The 18,195-nt window shown below is 33.1% G+C and overlaps 2 long non-coding RNA genes across 3 annotated transcripts in view; one reads left to right on the top strand and one right to left on the bottom strand.

Moving 5' to 3' along the window:
- Positions 1-2,312: 2,312 nt before the first annotated feature.
- LINC02263 (long intergenic non-protein coding RNA 2263) lies at positions 2,313-14,510 on the bottom strand. Of its 2 annotated transcripts, none has more exons than NR_147153.1 (5): positions 14,353-14,510; positions 13,656-13,752; positions 3,500-3,570; positions 2,691-2,798; positions 2,313-2,404 (listed from the first exon to the last, which is right to left on the bottom strand). It is a non-coding gene; the product is annotated as a long intergenic non-protein coding RNA 2263 (long non-coding RNA). The 2 variants fall into 2 exon arrangements; NR_147152.1 differs by lacking the exon at positions 2,313-2,404 and adding an exon at positions 2,427-2,566 and having other exon boundaries at positions 13,656-13,761.
- Positions 14,511-14,522: 12 nt separating this feature from the next.
- The window catches only part of LINC02262 (long intergenic non-protein coding RNA 2262), a 46,043-nt gene continuing 42,370 nt past the window's right edge, over positions 14,523-18,195 (top strand). The window contains exons 1-2 of the long non-coding RNA NR_147151.1: positions 14,523-14,598; positions 15,353-15,434. This is a non-coding gene — a long non-coding RNA (long intergenic non-protein coding RNA 2262). The remainder of the gene's footprint in view (positions 14,599-15,352; positions 15,435-18,195) is intronic.

The following is an 18,195-nucleotide window of genomic DNA, read 5'->3' as shown; positions in this document are numbered from 1 at the left end:
GTAAAAAAAAAAAAATTGAGGTTGAGGTATAAGTTAGAGTCAAATTTTCAATGGGTATAATATATCCAATTTTTAGGAAGATCACTGTTTCTGTCCCCAAAAAGAAATGCAGTGGAATCTATTAGGTATTTATATTATGTAACCGGGTATACTTTTAAACATATATGTACATATATATATATATATATATATATATATATACACACACACACACACACATATATGTATATATAGAAATTGTTTGTAAGTTTAATTTTTTATCTTTATTTCCTAGAAACTGGTCAAATGTACTGGGTTTTAGATACATTTACCATTTCTCAACCTTTCTAACTATTTCTGTGAGTGTGAGTGCGTGTGTGTGTGTGCGTGCCTATGTGTCTTCATTTCTCTCTCTTTCTCACTTTCTCTCTTACTGACAGAAGTGATGAATTGATATAGAGCACCATAAATATTTTAGATTTTCACTGTGAGTAAGGAAGACTGTATAAAGTAAATACATGCGATATTTACACAGACAGTAGGTCGTACTTGTTAAATAATTTCACAAAGAGTTATCCTCTGAAAACATACATATGGCTTTCAGTTTTCAGTCCAGCATGTAAGAAGCATGGAAGTCATCATTCTGTCCAAAAAGTAAAAAACTGAAGACATTGATAAATTAATGAGTTTTCTTAGACCATAAGAGCAGTGAGGTGACAGGTCAAACAGCTGTCCTCTAAATTGGAGACAGCAAGAGGTGAATACAGATAATCACAACATACCAGAGCAGCAATGTCCAAAGAACCCCGTGCCTATGTGGAAAAACATGAACTATGATTTATGAATTGTTGTAGGTTCAGTGTGGACAACTCTGAGACTTAAAAACTCCAGGGAGACAGTCATAGGTGGTTCCTCACACTCTTGGGATTTTTGCCTCTCAATCTCTACCAGGTTTTTACAGTGAATATCACACACACACACAAAACCTGGACAGAACATATATTACTTATGTGTTTATATATTTGGATACAAAAGAATGATCAATATAAATAATTTACATAAAGTTATTGATATGGTTTGGCCGTGTCCCCAACCAAATCTCAACTTGAATTGTATCTGCCAATTCAATCTTTTCAAAAGTTTAGAAACAAAATGTTTCATGTAAAGTGGCAAAGTTCCTCTGTTACGCCTTTCACTGTTTAATATATGGAAATGCATATGCTCTTTACATGAATTTTTTTAGCTACAAGTGTCTGTCTTACTCATCAAATGATAGCTCATATTTGTATAAGTAATACATTTTTGAAACATATTTTGATAATTAAAGAATATTATAAACCATGTCTAGGTAGGTAAAAGTTCATGAACTATAGTTTGTGTTAAGCACTCCAAATAACTAATTTTTAAATGAATGTATTTCTTAATTTCTTATTTGTTATTGTTAATTGTTAATAATTTTTTCTCATCTTTTTTCTTCTTAAATTGTGTTTTTGCTGTTATTGTTTCAGAAACATTATAAAAAATTACAGCATGGTTTTTTCATTATTTAAACCCTCTGCGTGTGATTGAAAACAAAAATCTTTCAGACAGTTTCAAACTCTAGAAGAATTTTTTGTGTCATTTCTTGTATACAGTAGACCTAAGGTGGTGTGTATGCAGTAGATTTTTAACTGAACTTGTTTTATACTGATATAAATTTTGAAGATGTTATACAAAATATATCACAATTTGAATTTAACTAGATTTAAATGCCTAACTTTAAGAGATTAAAAAATCTTAAGTGCTTCTTTTTCAAAGGACACCATATGCAAATAAAATTTTGTATGTGGAAAACACTTTTAACAAGTAACACTATAACCTATATTTACCAGTTTTTTTTTCATTTGCATTATGGAAATTATGTTGAGTGAGTAAGAAACTGTTACTATGCTCCAAGGAAATGTCTCAGCAACCAATTTAAAATGAGTTATTTGAAAAGAGAATAGAACAATTTTGTAATGCATATCTTACTTTCATTGTGGCAGAAATTATCGAGCTATTGAGTGAATACCTCTCTCTTTTCTTAAGGGAACTAGCTCTATCTTTCTTGCTGTTAAATGTACACATATGAGTGAATTCCACATCCAGACAATGGAATGCAGGTAGAAGTAATATGCTACACTTGAAGTCATTGCCTATAAAAACCCCTTTTGCAATTTTGTACTCTATCTTTCTCTTCTTTTCCAGGTAGAAATAGATATGAAATCCACAAAGTGAAGATGGTAAAGCTTCCATAGTACTGTTTTCTTGAATAACTACCTGAAGCAGAAATTCTCTAGCATGCTCATTGGTCTTTATGTAAATCAGAAATGAACTTTAATTATAGTAAGTATTCAAGAAAGTAGAGTTGTACAGTGAATGTTTCAGGGAATTCTCTCCAAATTGTCTGGAAAAAAAATACACATGCATAAAAAGTAAGAGTTTTATTCCTGGTAGCTTTCCTGAACTCAATTTCCTAGAGAACCAAAGGGAGGGGATATAAAATGGAGGGGCCACAGAACGTCCCAGCTTCTTTCCAGCAATTAGTCACCAGCAACTTTGTAAATAGCTAGAACCAAGTAAATAATTTATTCTTTACTAGCAAGGCCACTCCCAAACTTACCATATATATATATATGGAACAGCCAAGAATGGGATGCTTTACCAAAGACAAAGTTTCATAGGAAATTCACCTGAGTCATGACCCAAGCATATCTTTCTGCAGAATCCGTATAGAAGGGTGCATATATTCGCACTTTGACTCTTCTATCCATGAGTATCAGCCTTAAATAAATGATGTTCTGGGGTTTAAACAAAATAATTTATTAACATTATGTGCTACTGATTTCAGCTTTTATAATTCTAATAGCATTATCTTTAGCAAAACATTATAATTAGAGAATTATAATTAGAAGAAATTTTTCTATCTTGTAGTCATTACAGTTTACTTAATTTATTGCTTATACTTATTCTTTTCTTTTTGTTACCCATTTCTTATTATATTTATAAATAATTTGCATACTACTATTGTATTTCTATGCCTTGATTTTACATGCGATTTTAGGGAAAAAAATTTACTTGAAAATGTCAGACATCCTAAGAATAAAAAAAATAAAAAGCAGATGCATATAATAATATATTTTATTTGCATACAACATTCATTAGCTCTAACGCATTAATAGGCTTTAAGTAGATCATTTACATATGAAAACAAGAAATAAAAAATATAAAGGACAAAAAGAAGTTTTAAACTAAATAAGAAGGAAAGCATAGTAAATAAAATATGTTGATTAAGATTATTTTGTGAAGAACATAAGAAAGACAGCAGAATAAGAAGTCTCAGGCTTTACCCCTCACAGAAAAACTGATTTAAAAATAATATACAAACCAAAATACCCTTTTAAGAAGTCCAGAATTTTGTTAAGAAGTTGCAGTAGCCTGGACAACCACAAAATTAATAACAGCTACATTGAAATTGGTAAGAAGAGAAATTTCGCTTTACCTGCATCAGCATTTCCCCAAAGCTGGCAAAACTCAGCTTCCAGTGAAATCATCTTGTCTTGTAACATCTCCCTGAAGGAAAAAGAGAGAGGGAAGTATGCATCTAATGTATCCAGGCTTTTCATAGTCTGCCCGAGGGAGGGACTGGCTTCTGTCTTGCCTCATCTGGAGTGCTGATGGAATTGGCATAGTTTGGATGTCCCAATAACAGCTAAGGAGAGAGGAAAGGAGTGGGTGGCTTACTGCATCCAACATGGCTGTGCAAGAAAGCGGAGAAGGTGCAGAACCTGAGGCTTCTCGACAAGGAAGAAAGAAGAGGAGTGAAATATGCCTTCAACATTCTGGCCATTTGGTGTGTTATCCAAGGAACTAGTTTCTCTCTCACCTCACCCTTAGTACTGATGGAACAGGCATAGTTTGGATGCCTGGAGACAGCTAGGAACAAAGAAAACAGGCAGGCATCTTGCTGCATTAGACACAACTCTGCAAGACTGGATGAAGGCATGTAACTTAAGGCTTCTCCACAGGGAGGGAAGAAGAGGAGCACAGTATGCCTCCAATGTCTCAGACAGCAGTACTTTGGTCAGACATTAGAGGGAATAAGAGATTAGAGGTTTTAGAAGAAAAGGAGGAAGAAAAGAAGGAAGAGAAGGAGGAAAAGGAGGAGGAGGAGGAGGAGAACCAAAAACAACTAGAAAATCTCTCATTATAAATCCACGTGCACAAATCCAGACAAGACCTATCTATAAAAAGGGTTCTAGAGATTCCCAGAATCCCTAGCAAAGCTGAACGGTAAACATCTTTCCCTGTCAGTAAAGACTGTGAGAAGTGGCTTTCTATTTCAAATGCACAGAAATTGACACAAAGATACAAGGAACATGAAAAATAAGAAAATATAATACAATCAAAGGAACAAAATAAATCTCCAATAACCAATCTAAAGAAATGGATACTCATGAATTAATTGACAAAGAATTCAAAACAATCATCTTAGTGAATCTCAGTGAGTAACAAGATAACACAGATAAGCAACTAAATGAAATAAGAAAACACTTAAACAAAATGAAAATATTGATAAGGAGACAAAAAAACTGTAAAAGAGGAACAAACCAATTTGGGAGCTAAAAATACAACAAACAAACTAAAATATTAACCAGAGGGGTTCAACAACAGACTTAATCAAAGAGAAGAAAGAATTAGTGAAGTCTAAGAAAGGTCATTTGAAATTATCCATCAGAGGAATAAAAATAAAATAAAATAAAGTAACAAAGAGTAACAAAAGCTTAAAAGATTTATGGGAAACCACAAAGAAGCCAATTCATGCATTATGGAAGTATCAGGAAAAGAAGATAAATTGGTTTTGGCAATGAATTTTTTTTCTATTTTGACACCAAAGCACAAGCAACAAAAGCAAAAACAAACAAGTGGGAGTTTTTTGAACCAAAAAGCTTCTGCATAGTCAAGAAAATAATAAACATAGTGAAGAGGCAACCTACAGAATGGGAGAAAATATAATAGTTCCAAACCATATATCTGATAAGGGGTAAATAGTTCCAAACCATATATCTGATAAGGTGTAAATATCTAAAATATATTGGGAATTTATACAACTCAATAGCAAAAACAAACAAACAAAAAAAACAAAAAAAAAATCTTTTTAAAAAATGGATAAATGATGTGAATAGGCATTTTTCAAATGAAGATATACAAATAGCCAATAGGTATATAAAAATATGCTCAGCATCAGTAATGATCAGAGAAATGCAAATAAAACCCACAATGAGATATTATCTTACACTTTTTAGGATGGCTATTATCAAAAAGAAAAAAAAAGGAAGGTATTGGCAAAGATGTAAGAATTTGGAACTCTTGTATAGTGTAGGTGGGAATGTAAAATGGTGTAGCCACTGTGAAAAACAATATGGAGAGTCCTCAAAAAATTGAAAATAGAACTATCATATGATCCAGCAATCTCACATGTGAGTATATACTCAGTATGTATAAAAGAATTAAAATGAGGATCTTGAAAAGATATATACACTCCCATGTTCATTTCGGCATTATGCACAATAGCCAAGATGTGGAAAAACCTAAATGTCAATTGATGGATTACTGAGTATATAAAATGTGGTATATACAAACAAGGGAATATTATTTATCCTTTAGAAAGAAGGAAATCCTGTCATACATGAGAAAATGGGTGAACCTGCAGGACATCACGCTAAGTGAAATAAGCTAGTTAGAGAAAGATAAACACCACATGATCTCAGTTATATGAGATATACAAAATAGTCTAATTCACAGAAATAGAGAGTAGGATAGTAGTTACCAGGAGCAGGTGGGGCAGGAGGGGAAATGGAGAGTGGTTCAATGGGTATACTTTCAGTTATGCCTAGGGTTAACAATACTGTATTGTGTACTTAAAAATTATAGAGGGCAGCTCTCATGTTAAGTATTCCTACTACAGTAAAAAGAAATTACACAGAATTATTTGCATATTGAATTTGTAGAACTATTGTTTCTTTCAACAACAAAAAATTACCTCTCCCAGTTCTACTGAAATGTCAAATCTTTACAGTCTGTTAGTCTCAAGTTTCTATTTTGGAAAGAACTCTATGTTAAAAATATGTCTCTAAAAATGTTATTCTACTCTAAGAAAATAAGGCATGATGTGAAATAAAAACTGGTTCTTGCCATTATTATCAAGAGACAATAAAGAGTGATAATAACTAGGCAATCAGAAGGATGCATGCCCCACCTGGAACCTTTTGTATTTAGGTGGGCTTGCTATTTTAACACTTGTTTTTAACAGCAGTGATCTGAATTTTTTCATGACATTTGACTTTTAAATATTGGCTTAAAAAATCAGACCAATTATAATATTAAAAATATTTTTCCATAATTTCCATGATTAAGGTTCAAAGAAATTCAGTGGAGAGATGTCTTTTCAACAGGTGACGCTCAACCAATTTGATATCTATGTTCAAAAGAACGAGATCATATCCTTTGCAGGAACATGGGTGGAACTGGAGGCCATTATCCTTAGCAAACTAATTCAGGAACAGAAAAGCAAATACTGAATGTTCTCACTTATAAGTGGGACCTAAATAATGAGAACACATAGACAGAAAGTGGAGAGCAACAGAAACTGGGGCCTACTTGAGGGTGGAGAGTGGGAGGAGGGAGAGCTTCAGGAAAAAAACAAAAACAAAACTACTGGGTACTATGCTTAGTACCTGGGAGATTAAGCAAACTGTACACCAAACACCCAAGTCATGAGTTTATCTATAAAACAAACCTGCATGTATACCCCTGAACCTAAAATAAAAGTTAAAATATTAAATAATAATACCCATATTCATTAGCATATCAGAGACTAACATCTTTTGCACATTTAAAGGTTAAAGACCGATGCTTTCAACCTCACACTAGGAAAAGGCAAAGTTTTTTTTTCTTACTATTTCTATTCAACATTGCACTTGAGGTTTTATTCAGTAGAATAAGATAAGAAAAAAAACAAAATAATTTAGTTTAAACAAGGAGAAATAAAAGCATCTTTAGTCATGCAAGTCATCTACATAACTTTTTTTGGAATCTACAAAAAGATACTAGAAATAATAAGAAGGTTTTTAAGGTAGTAGGATACAAGATCAGTATACACAGTAAATTTTATTTTATGTCAATGTACAATTGAAATTTTTTAAAAGGTACCATTTTAAAGCATTATAATATACAAAAATTTTGGTATAAATATGACAAAACATGTACAAGACCCATACTTTGAAAATTATGATACACTGTTTTAAAAAATTAACGAAGGCTTAAATAAGTGGAACAATATCACCACAAGTTGATCTATCAATGCAATACCTACCAATCAAAGTCCCAGCATGCATTTTTATAGAAATTCACAAGTTTGTTCTAAAATTTATATGGAAAAGGAAGTCACCTAGAATATTTTTTTGCCAAATATTTGTTCCAAAGAACAATTTTGAAAACAAAAAACGGAGTGAAATGAGTCCCGTTACCTGACCTCAAGAATTATAATAAAATTTCAGTAAACAAGACAGTTTGGTATTGGCAACAATAAAGTAAAAAATCAATCAGTCAGTGGAACAGCCTTGATAGTTCAGAAGTAGACCCATACATATAAGGTTAATTGATTGTTGGCAAAGATTCAAAAATAATTCACTGGACAAAATAAATCTTTTTAACAAATGATGCTGGACCAATTTAATGCTCATATTAAAAATAGTGAACTTTGACCAATAACACATAATATTAAAAATTAACCCAAAATGAATTATAGAACTAAATTTAAAAATCAAAATAATTAAGCATCTAGAAAAAAAGAATGAAATTATTGTGACCTTGTGTTAGACAAAATTTTCTTAGATATAATACTACATAAATAATTCATACAGTGTATGTTAACAAATTTCACTTTGTCAAAATTAAGAACTCTTGTTTTTCAGAAATCACTTGTAAGAGAATGAACAGAGAAACAATACACTTGGAGAAAATAACTGCAAATTACAAAACCTTTAAAAAGGCTTTATTATCTACAAACAACTTTCAAAACTCTGTTTAAAAAAAAAAAAAAAAAAAAAAAAAAACAAGTTAGACCACCCCATCAATGAAGTATAGTTGGCATACAGGCCCTTGAAAGCATACTTGAAATCATTTGTCTTCAGAGAAATTACAATAAACCTTTCAATTACATAATGTTACACACCCATAAGTATGTCTAAAAGTCAAAAGAAAGAACATAGTTTTGGTGAAGATATGAAATAACTGAAACTGTCATACAGTGATGGTGAAATTGTAAACTAGTACAACTATTTTAGGAAATTGCAATTTCTTTAAAAGTTAAACATACACCAACCATACAACCCAGACATTCTACTCTTAGCTATTTACCTACAAGAAAGGAAAGCATTATTTAGTAGAAAAACTTTTACATGAATATTCATACAGCAGTTTCATTTGTAATGGCCAAATCCTGTATACCATGCAAATGTCCATCAAGAGGTTAGTGAATGAATACATTGTGTTATACCCACACAATGGAATACTCTTCAGCCATAAAAAGTATGAATTAAAGGTACAAAATAAAATATGCAATATTAAGTATTGCACATTCTTAAGTATTGTGTTTTTTAACTTATGCAAACCAATCAAAACATATTTTTTATTTTGTAGGATAGCTTAATGAATTTTTAATATTCTGCAGAAATAGGAAAATATTTCACACTCTTAATAAAAAGTAAAATTTTCTCAATTACAGACACATGAAACACAGAGAGAACTTGCAACTTCAGTTCTATAGCTTCAGCTTCATGTCAAAAGAAAATTCTCATCAGTAGGCGATATATGACTGTATATATATATATATATATATATATACACACATATATATACACACACACACACACATATGATTAAAACAAATACAAAAAATGGTTATTCATAAATTGAACTTTGTCTTAAATTTTAAAATCAAATTTTTACATTTATAATTAATTATTTTTCTCCTTTTTCACTAATTAACAAGGCAGAAAAAAACGGTTATGTGATGACATCTATGTATGCTTTTAAAGTATATTAAATTCTATTTAAATATGTTTCTAAAAACATGTCTTAATATCATCTATTTTAGAATGATATAGCTCTAATACTGAAATGATTTCTATGAATGTGTCTTTAATGTATAAGAAAAAAGATAAAATTACTTTTGTATGGACCAAAGAAAAATTTTCCCTTCTCACCTTCAAGGTTCACTAAAAATCACTGACAAGAGGAAATTAATAGGAAAAAATACATAAAAATGTATTTGATCATAGTTTTATATAACACAGGAGGCTTCAGAATACAGACTCAAAGGTAGAGGGAATATTGCCCATTTTTATGCTTAGGTATGCACAGCCATGTAGAAAAACTATTGGGCAAAAAACATGATCTAATGCTAATAGACTGAGTGGGTAAACCCAGCACAACCTGTGTGTCTAGAGTCTCTTGGCCTCTCTTGAGCATGAATTCCTTCCTTCTGGGTATGGACAGTACCCTCTCTGGAATGGGAGTCTTATGACAAACAATCAAACAAGGTAGGCCAGATAATTTCTTTAAAGCCAGTTTTTACACAAACAAGGTAGAGGAAAAGTTAGCATATTATTTGGGGGTTTGATGGTTGGCTCTGGGGACAAGGGGTTCTGAATACAGAGTTAAGGGGCACCAGAAAAATGACAAGTAAATACAATCTTAAAGAAGACAGAAATATATCTCACCTCTGCTCTTTGATTCAGAAACTTCCCTCTCTCTCTCTAACCTCTCCTCCCTGCCACTCTTTCTCCCTTTCTCTGTTTTTCTGGATGTATTGAGCTATTGAAGCTCCTAGGAGACTCCTGGCTGCCAGTAGCAAAGTTGACTGCCTCACGAGGCTGAGGAGAAGAGAACTAGAATCAACTCATATTAGAGAGCTGGATATTCAATGTGTTTTTATTATTTCTATGAAAACATGTTCAACTATTTCGAAAACTACTTTTTTTGGTTTTCCTCCTTTCTCATTTTTTTTTCTTTTTATCTGCATTGGAAGTAGTCACTAAGTTTATGCCACAGATTGGAAGGGATGGGTAAATTTACTTAGTAAGCAAAGCAAACATTTGCCTCTTCTCAAATAGTGAATAAGATACCTGAAATTAAAGGATCATCTTCTGGCCTTTTAAAGAAGGAGGTGCCATTTTTTCAACTACTAACATTTTCAAGTCATTTTTAATTGATGATCAAGGCTCTTCCTGACTCTTCGTCAGTAACAGACATAATAAGGGTTAGAGAAGTGAAGGATTTTTATGTGTGTGTGAAGGTGAGAGATGATAGATTACAAGAGGTATAAAAATGACATTAAAACGTTACAGTAAGCTAATTAATTGTTGAAGAAAGAAAAAGTATTTTAAATACATGTAGTGGAGCCTAAGTACACAGTGTTTATAAAGTCTACAGCTATATACAATAATGTTCTAGGCCTTCACATTCACTCACCACTCATTCATTGACTCAACCGGTGTAACTTCCCGTCCTGCAAGCTGCATTTGTGGTTAAGTGTCCTATACAAATGTACCATTTTTTAACCATTTTAAAAATATGTTGATATGTTAACAGAAAATAATAAGATGGCCCAACTTCAGAAATTTACATAACCTTTAAAGTTACTCTTTAGAGATTCTCTTTGTCATGGATTTGAGCCTGTCCCAGTATAACACAAAATGTGGAACTGACTAAATATCCACTACCTTTTTTTAATTAATTTTTTTTTTTTTTAGTGTCAAGGGTACATGTACAGATTGGTTCTACAGTTAAATAGCATGATGTGGGGAGTTGGCGTCCATACTATTTCATCACCCAGATAATAAGCATAGTATCTGATAGGTAGATATATATATATATTTTGAGACTGAGTCTTGCTCTTGTTGCCCAGGCTGGAGTGCAATGGTGCCATCTCGGCTCACCGCAACTTCTGCCTCCCAGGTTCAAGCGATTCTTCTGCCTCAGCCTCCAGAGTAGCGGGGATCATAGGCATGCACCACCACACCTGGGTAATTTTGTATTTTTAGTAGAGACGGGGTTTCTCCGTGTTGGTCAGGCTAGTCTCAAGATAGGTAGATTTTTTTATCCTCACCCTCCTACCCATCCTCCATCCTAAAGTAGGCCCTGGTGTCTATCGTTCCTTTCTTTGTGTCTATATGTACTCTGTGTTTAATTTATGCTTATAAGTGAGAACAGATGGTGTTGGGTTTTCTGTTCCTGAATTAGTTCACTGAGGATAATGGTCTTCAGCTTCATCCATGTTGTTGCAAAAGACATTATCTTATTCTTTATTTTGGCTGCATAGTATTCCATGGTGTATATGTACCACATTTTCTCTATCCAGTCTACCACTGATGGGCATTTAGGTTGATTGCATGTCTCTGCTATTGCGAATAGTGCTGTGATTAACTTATGAATCCATGTGTCCTTATGGTTGAACAATCTATATTCCTTTGGATTGCTAATGGGATTGCTGGGTCAAGTGTGTGTAGGTTTGGGGTTCTCCTTTGAATCAGTTATTGCACTTCACTGTTTCCTCACAATTATGTATCAGGAACACTGGCAAGAATTTGTAAACAGATCCAAAACTCATCCTTGAGTATTAAGAGTGAGAAGATTATCTCTCCATGGAACAATTCAGTTTCATGTCTATAGACAAGAATTATTTTGCATTTCTATTAATTATCTACCACTTAACAGAGTTGCAAAGAAGCTTATAGAATCAAAATAATGTAATGTGAAATGTGCCATAAATAATGCATAGTTTTCATTGAAGCACAGATCTTTTCCACATGTCATGTATCTATTAGTTCACTAGACCTAATTTGTAATATTTATGGAAAATATAGTCAGAGTAATAGTAGAACCAATAGTAGTTATATCAGTAAAGAACTTACCATCAAATAATAACTCTTTTAAAGGTTAAAAATATGTCTTTCATTCAAATATAAAGTAAGCATATGTCAATGATTTTTAATTTCTTTATGATATTAAATATATATTATTTTTTCAAGTACTATATCATTTATAATTTATATCAGTTTTTTGACTCTCTTCTATGTTGCATTGATCAATTTGTCAGTGTATTATAATATAAATTTTTATTACTATAAAAATAATATTTTGGCATATAGTAAAAAATAACCACATAACTAATAATGTTTACTTATTCCTTTCAATTCTTGTATGATATGTTAACAGAATAAGTTACATAGTTTTAATTTGCTTATAGAATTTAAAGGATTTTTTTTTTCTGATTCATGGGGTTACTTTCAGTAGCTTAGTATGGGTAGAGAAGTCTAACATTTTTTTATTTACCCAAATTGGTTTGACCTATTTTTCAAATTGGAATTTCTATTTCTTGTTAAAAATAGAAATAGAAAAATGCTGCAGATATTTCAATAGTGTTTCAAAGCCTGGGAGGCAGAGCTAGAGGATTTATCAAGCTCAGCTCACCTAATACACACACCCAGCTTCCTACCATCACTTCCACCCTGAGCCTAAGGGTCTGTCCATCTGTTTCTTTCATGAAATCCAGGGGAAATTGTTATTTTCTCAAGAGCTTAGAGATTTAGTGTGTGCAGGTGTGTGTGTGTGTGTGTGTGTGTGTGGTTCCCTTTTCTATATGGACAAAGTTTATTATTATTTTTTTACATTTCTCTCAGCTCATGCCCACAAAGAAAGCTTAAATACTAAAGACAAAGGATCATAGCAAGTCCTGAAGGTTTAAGAATCCAAAGTAAAAATTTACGGTTATATCTGTAGTTTGTGTTCAATGAGAAAATAAGTAAAAATTAAAATAAGTCCTTCATGCTATTTAGAGTTTTCTAGTAAGAAATACACACTAACTTACTGAATATTTTATTTAAATTTTTATTCTGTAATTTCATTCACTTTAAAAAGGTAAAAGACAGTACTTATTGATGAGAAGAAAATAAGGAATTTAGTTAAGCCAGAACATAAGATATATATTTACACATTTCTTATTATTCGAGAGAGCATGGAGTTAAAAATTTTAAGATCAAAGTTAGTGTTTAACAAAGCTCACTGCAATTTTTTTCTGATCTTCTTATGTTATACAAAGTCAAAATTAATGACTCATAATAAACAAACTATTTTGTGTACTTATTCTTCATCATAATGGTTTTTACTTCTATGCTTGCCTAGTATTGGTAAATATCTGCATAATCCATTTGAGAGGAAATAAAATATTTCTAGATTGCCCATTTTTTAAAGTGAAAAATTTTGCAAAGTTATCAAATGGAGAAATCACTAAAGAGTAAATACTTAACAAAAATCACATTAAGAATTTTAAGCACAAGATATTAGTCTTAGCGTTTTCATATCACCCTATTGATTCCTCAATGCAAAGCCTAACTCACTTTAGGGGTATCCTAAATAAAAAAATATATTATGAATCAATATTTATTTTTATGGAATAATTGTCACTATGTAGCTGAACATTCAATTTAAGATATAAAGAATAAATATTTAAGTTCGTATATTTATTAGTTTTCTATTGCTGCAGTAACAAAGTACCACAAAACTAGCAAAGTAGAACAAATGTATTGACTTACAGTTTTGTAAGTAAGAATTCTAGAAGGGTGCAGCTGGTTTTTCAACTCCAGGTCTGACAAGGTCAAAATCAAGGTGTCCTTTGGCCTGGGCTCTTATCTGGAGTCCCTGAGGGAAGATTTGATGTTTAATTCTTTTCTCTTACCAGTCTGAATGTTCCAAGGAGGTCATGTCAACAGTTAAAGTCTGCCATTTTGCCTCTTAGTGCGCATGTGTGAGCCCTCTCATCCAACTCCTGAGATCTTATCAGGAAGCTGCTGATCACCAGCTTCAGGTGTTTCTATGTATTGGGAGACGGTCTTTCCCTGGCACCAGTTGCAACCAATGATTACTTTAGAGAGACAGTTTAACAACTGCCTGACCATCACCTGATGGTCAGGTGATGGTCAGGGAGAAGTATTGTTGGCAGAATTCAATTCCCTGTAGTTGTAATGCTGAGGTTCCCCATTTCCTTGCTGCCTGCCTTTCTGGGACTTCTCTTAGCTCTTTAAGGCCACCTGCTTTCCTCATCATATTGCCTCCTGCCTTGTTGAGCCAGCAAAGGGACAAGTGCATTTTATACTTCTAAACTCTCACTCCTCCTATTGCATCTCTTCTGGCTCCAGCTGAAGAGAGTTCTCTTTTTTTAAGGATTCCTGTAATAATGTTACAGTAGGTAGCTAGTCAGACATAAGCAGAGTGGAGAGGGACCCCACTCACTGGGAATGTCAGATGACCATCAGGTGATGGTCAGGCAGTTGTTAAACTGTCTCTCTAAAGTAATCATTGGTTGCAGCTGGTGCCAGGGAAAGACAGTCTCCCAATAAATAGAAACACCTGAAGCTGGTGATCAGCAGCTTCCTGATAAGATCTCAGGAGTCGGATGAGAGGGCTCACACATGCGCACTAAGAGGCAAAATGGCAGTCTTTAACTGTTGACATGACCTCCTTGGAACATTCAGACTGGTAAGGGAAAAGCACCTCAGGTGAGCATGTGTGCAATTCCAGTAAAATTGGAAATAATTGGACTAAGTGAATAACCTTTAGTGGAGATATTTTCTCATAATTTATTAATAAAAACTTTATATAGAATGTTTCAAATTTTCCAATGAAGGTTTAAAATTAACACATGTATCATGCAATTGTATGTACATGAGTTTTCTGTTTGCTAAGAATTTCTATTTATTTTCTAACTCTCTTTCATAGATAATATTTTTTGGCTGCTTGGAGTACATGATCTCTCTTGAAGAGCAAATTCTATGTCAGAGGTTTATGGGTTGCCTTCCCTTGAATAATGTTGCCTTAGTTTGAATTTCTCCTGTTCTAGGGCAACATAATATGAGATAGTCCAGCTTCTTATCTGTGTGATATCTGTGGATAAAGAAAAATATAGTAAAATAATTGAATAAGAAATAAACAATGCTCTTAGATGTTTTGACAGCAATGTTAAAAGTCTCATGACTCCATCTTACCTCTATTCCTTTCTGCTTTGTTAAGCTAGTAATTTTTAAATTTTTGACCAGTTCCACCATTAGAAACACATTTTTCATCATGACCCAATACAGACAAACACAAAATACTTCTACAAGTCTCTACATTATATACATAATACATTTCCTACTTTTACTATTCATATTTTTACTGCTGTTTTATTTTACTATTTATTTCACTAAAAATTCTTATTGGAACTAACCAAACTGATTTTATAACCTATTTATAGAGAACTACCTGTAATTTGAGCGAAAAAAATCTTCTTTTGGAAACTCCTTAAGATATAGTCTGCCTTACTGCACGCTATTGAGGTGAGTATTTCTTCAGAAGATCCCGCAGGTATGGAGTGTGGAAATAGACTTTACTTCTCAAAATTGGTGACTCTACTCCTCTCCTGTTTCAAGCTACTTCTCCATTGAATATTTATTTTTCCTTGTGTAGCAATATAAGCGGAGTCCTTCACTGTCTTTTTGCAAATTCAACAAGTATTAAAGGTTTTCAATTTCCTAAAGACCTTTCTTTCAAAGAGGTTTTCCTTCCAGAGATTAATGGATAATAATGTAATAAGCTGTATCACCAATGTGTAAAGTAGAAATGAGGTAATCCCTTTTATCCCCACCATAAAGTGTTATGGCCAACATCCATGTAACAAAAGACAGGTTAATAAGAGAAAAGTATAACAAATTTAGTACATACACAAGTGTGCATGGGAGTCATACAAATTATAAAAACTGAAGAGAAGAACCAGATGGTTGGTGCGAAATACCCTCTTTATTGGTTAGAGGAAAGTGGGGTGCATAGGAATAGAAAACTTTCAGTGGAAATGAATGGTTGCAGTAGACATAAACATTAACTTGTAAATGATTCTCTTTAAAATTGGAATGAAACTGAGAGGCAGATACTATCTTGTGAAATAGTGCATCCAGATGTGGTTGCATTCCTCAGTCTTCTATGATAGATAATAAGACTTTAGGCAGGGGATGGAAAGCAATTTTGTTCCTCTTTGGAAGTCAAGGATCTCGACAGATAAAATAACTTCAGAGAATGGCTTTATCCTGTGCCTTGGGAGGACCAGAAGATTGAATGACAGGAAGGTGGGGGAAGATCAGAGAGATCTTGAGGCTGCTTCTTTAGTTCAATATGTAAAAACGCTGTATTTTGGGATATTGTTTCTGGACCCCAACAATTGCATACCATAATTTACCATATTTCTTACTCTTTATACCGCTGAATTTTCACTTCCATCAACTCCAAATGTTCTGTAGCTCATTTCAAATTAACAGTGTCCCTCAGAATCTCTTGTCTGAAATGCACTATAGGGCCTCAATTTTTACATCAGCAAGAAACTTATTCTATTTAACATAATTAGAAAATGAATTTACCGGGAAACAAAGAACATGATTCAGAATCAAGAGGAAAATTGAACAACTTAGTTTTGAAAATGAGAAAGAACCAAGGGAAACTAATTTACTTCTACACAATTCAACACCATGCTAAACAAGATCTAGGCAAAGATGTTGCTGCCCTCAGTAGTGGTGCCACACGTTTAGGATGAGGCCACAGCTGCTTATATTCAAGGAATCTTTCACTGACATGCCTTTTTGAATCCTTCTGGAGTCAAGGTCACGGGAACAACTAAGTTCAGATCCTATGCAGTAAAGCACCACGTGATATTTATTTTCTTTTAAATTATATCTATGGATACTTCTGCTTTTTTACATAATTATTTTGATGTATAATCTGGCATTCAAAAATTGTTATTTTTATCCCTCTCCCTTTCTGTCTCTTTTTCTTTCTCTCCCTTCACTCATTCCTTCCTTTTTTAAAAATCCATGTTGTTTTAATGCTAGTCACAACTTGTCTTCAAGAAGAAAATAATGCTAAATAAACTGATACGTGTAGACATGCAGCAGGGGAATGATCTAGGGAGCAGGAGGCTTTGCTGCAGGCCAGCTGTCTCACAGCACATTTTCAATCACGCTGTTGTAGGTTCAACCTAGGGAAAGACGCTTCAGTTCACTGTGCATAGATTCCATGTTTTCAGCAACCCCTCAGATCATATGTTTGTGCAATTTCATAACTTAGCATTTAAATATTTCCCTTCTTCCCTAAATATGATCATTAGGGATAAAAGCCAAACGCCTCTTTCTGTCTTTTCTTCCATCCTGTCACAAGCGGTATGCAGATTCTTTCTTGTCATTTCAGCGGCATTCCTGCCCTTTCTGCATTTTCCCTTACTTACCCTGGAAAAATGTGCAAATAATATTTGCCAGAATACCCTGCCAGCTATTTCCAGTTGAAATGCTGTCAAGGATAGATACTCGTACAAGCTTTGGAAGGCAGGAAGGGAAAAGCCATTCTTTTCTCCTATGGCAGTGGCAGACAGATGTGTGAGCTGACAGCAGAAAACAGACATGAGGTTCCCAGTAGCCTACAGGCATTTGCTGGTGAATCACCCGCTGGGGTGCTGCAGGGTGCAGAGATCATTAGCAGTATTTTTCTATGATTGATGCACACAAGACAATGATCATTAACAATGTCATCCTCAAATATGATCAATAATATGAACAATAAAACGTAAACACTCGTTATTCAAATTGACAATAGACTAGCCAGTTTTCTTCTCACAGGTTTGACAGTTCACTAAGATTTTGACAAATTATTAAATAAAATGATTTAACTCTTTCTATGTATATATATCCTTAATGTAAACATTAAATACTACTACTCCATGTGTAATACAAAATAATTCTTTAGAATATATAGAGTTCTGAAATATTATTATAAATGTAAAATTTTCAATTTGAACAATCTTTAAATGGGTAAAATACAGACAGATTTTCAGTGTTAGTTGAAGCATAAATATTGTTAACGTAAACTAAGATTGTCAGACATCTAAAATTAATGCAGACCAATAACCTCCCCAAATCCATTATGTCTGGAAAATATATGTTTCAGTTAACACTTGTAAAAATGTATTTGTGACCGTCAACTTACAAATACTAAGAAGATATAGAGGTAATTTATAATTTACCTCAAGTCTTTGAATATTTAGTTAAAACTTACTGTTTT

Source organism: Homo sapiens, chromosome 4 (assembly GCF_000001405.40).
Source record: "Homo sapiens chromosome 4, GRCh38.p14 Primary Assembly".
In the NCBI taxonomy this organism is placed as follows: domain Eukaryota; kingdom Metazoa; phylum Chordata; class Mammalia; order Primates; family Hominidae; genus Homo; species Homo sapiens.
The sequence above is the reverse complement of the archived record's forward strand: the minus strand, read 5'-3'. Positions and strand labels throughout refer to the sequence as shown.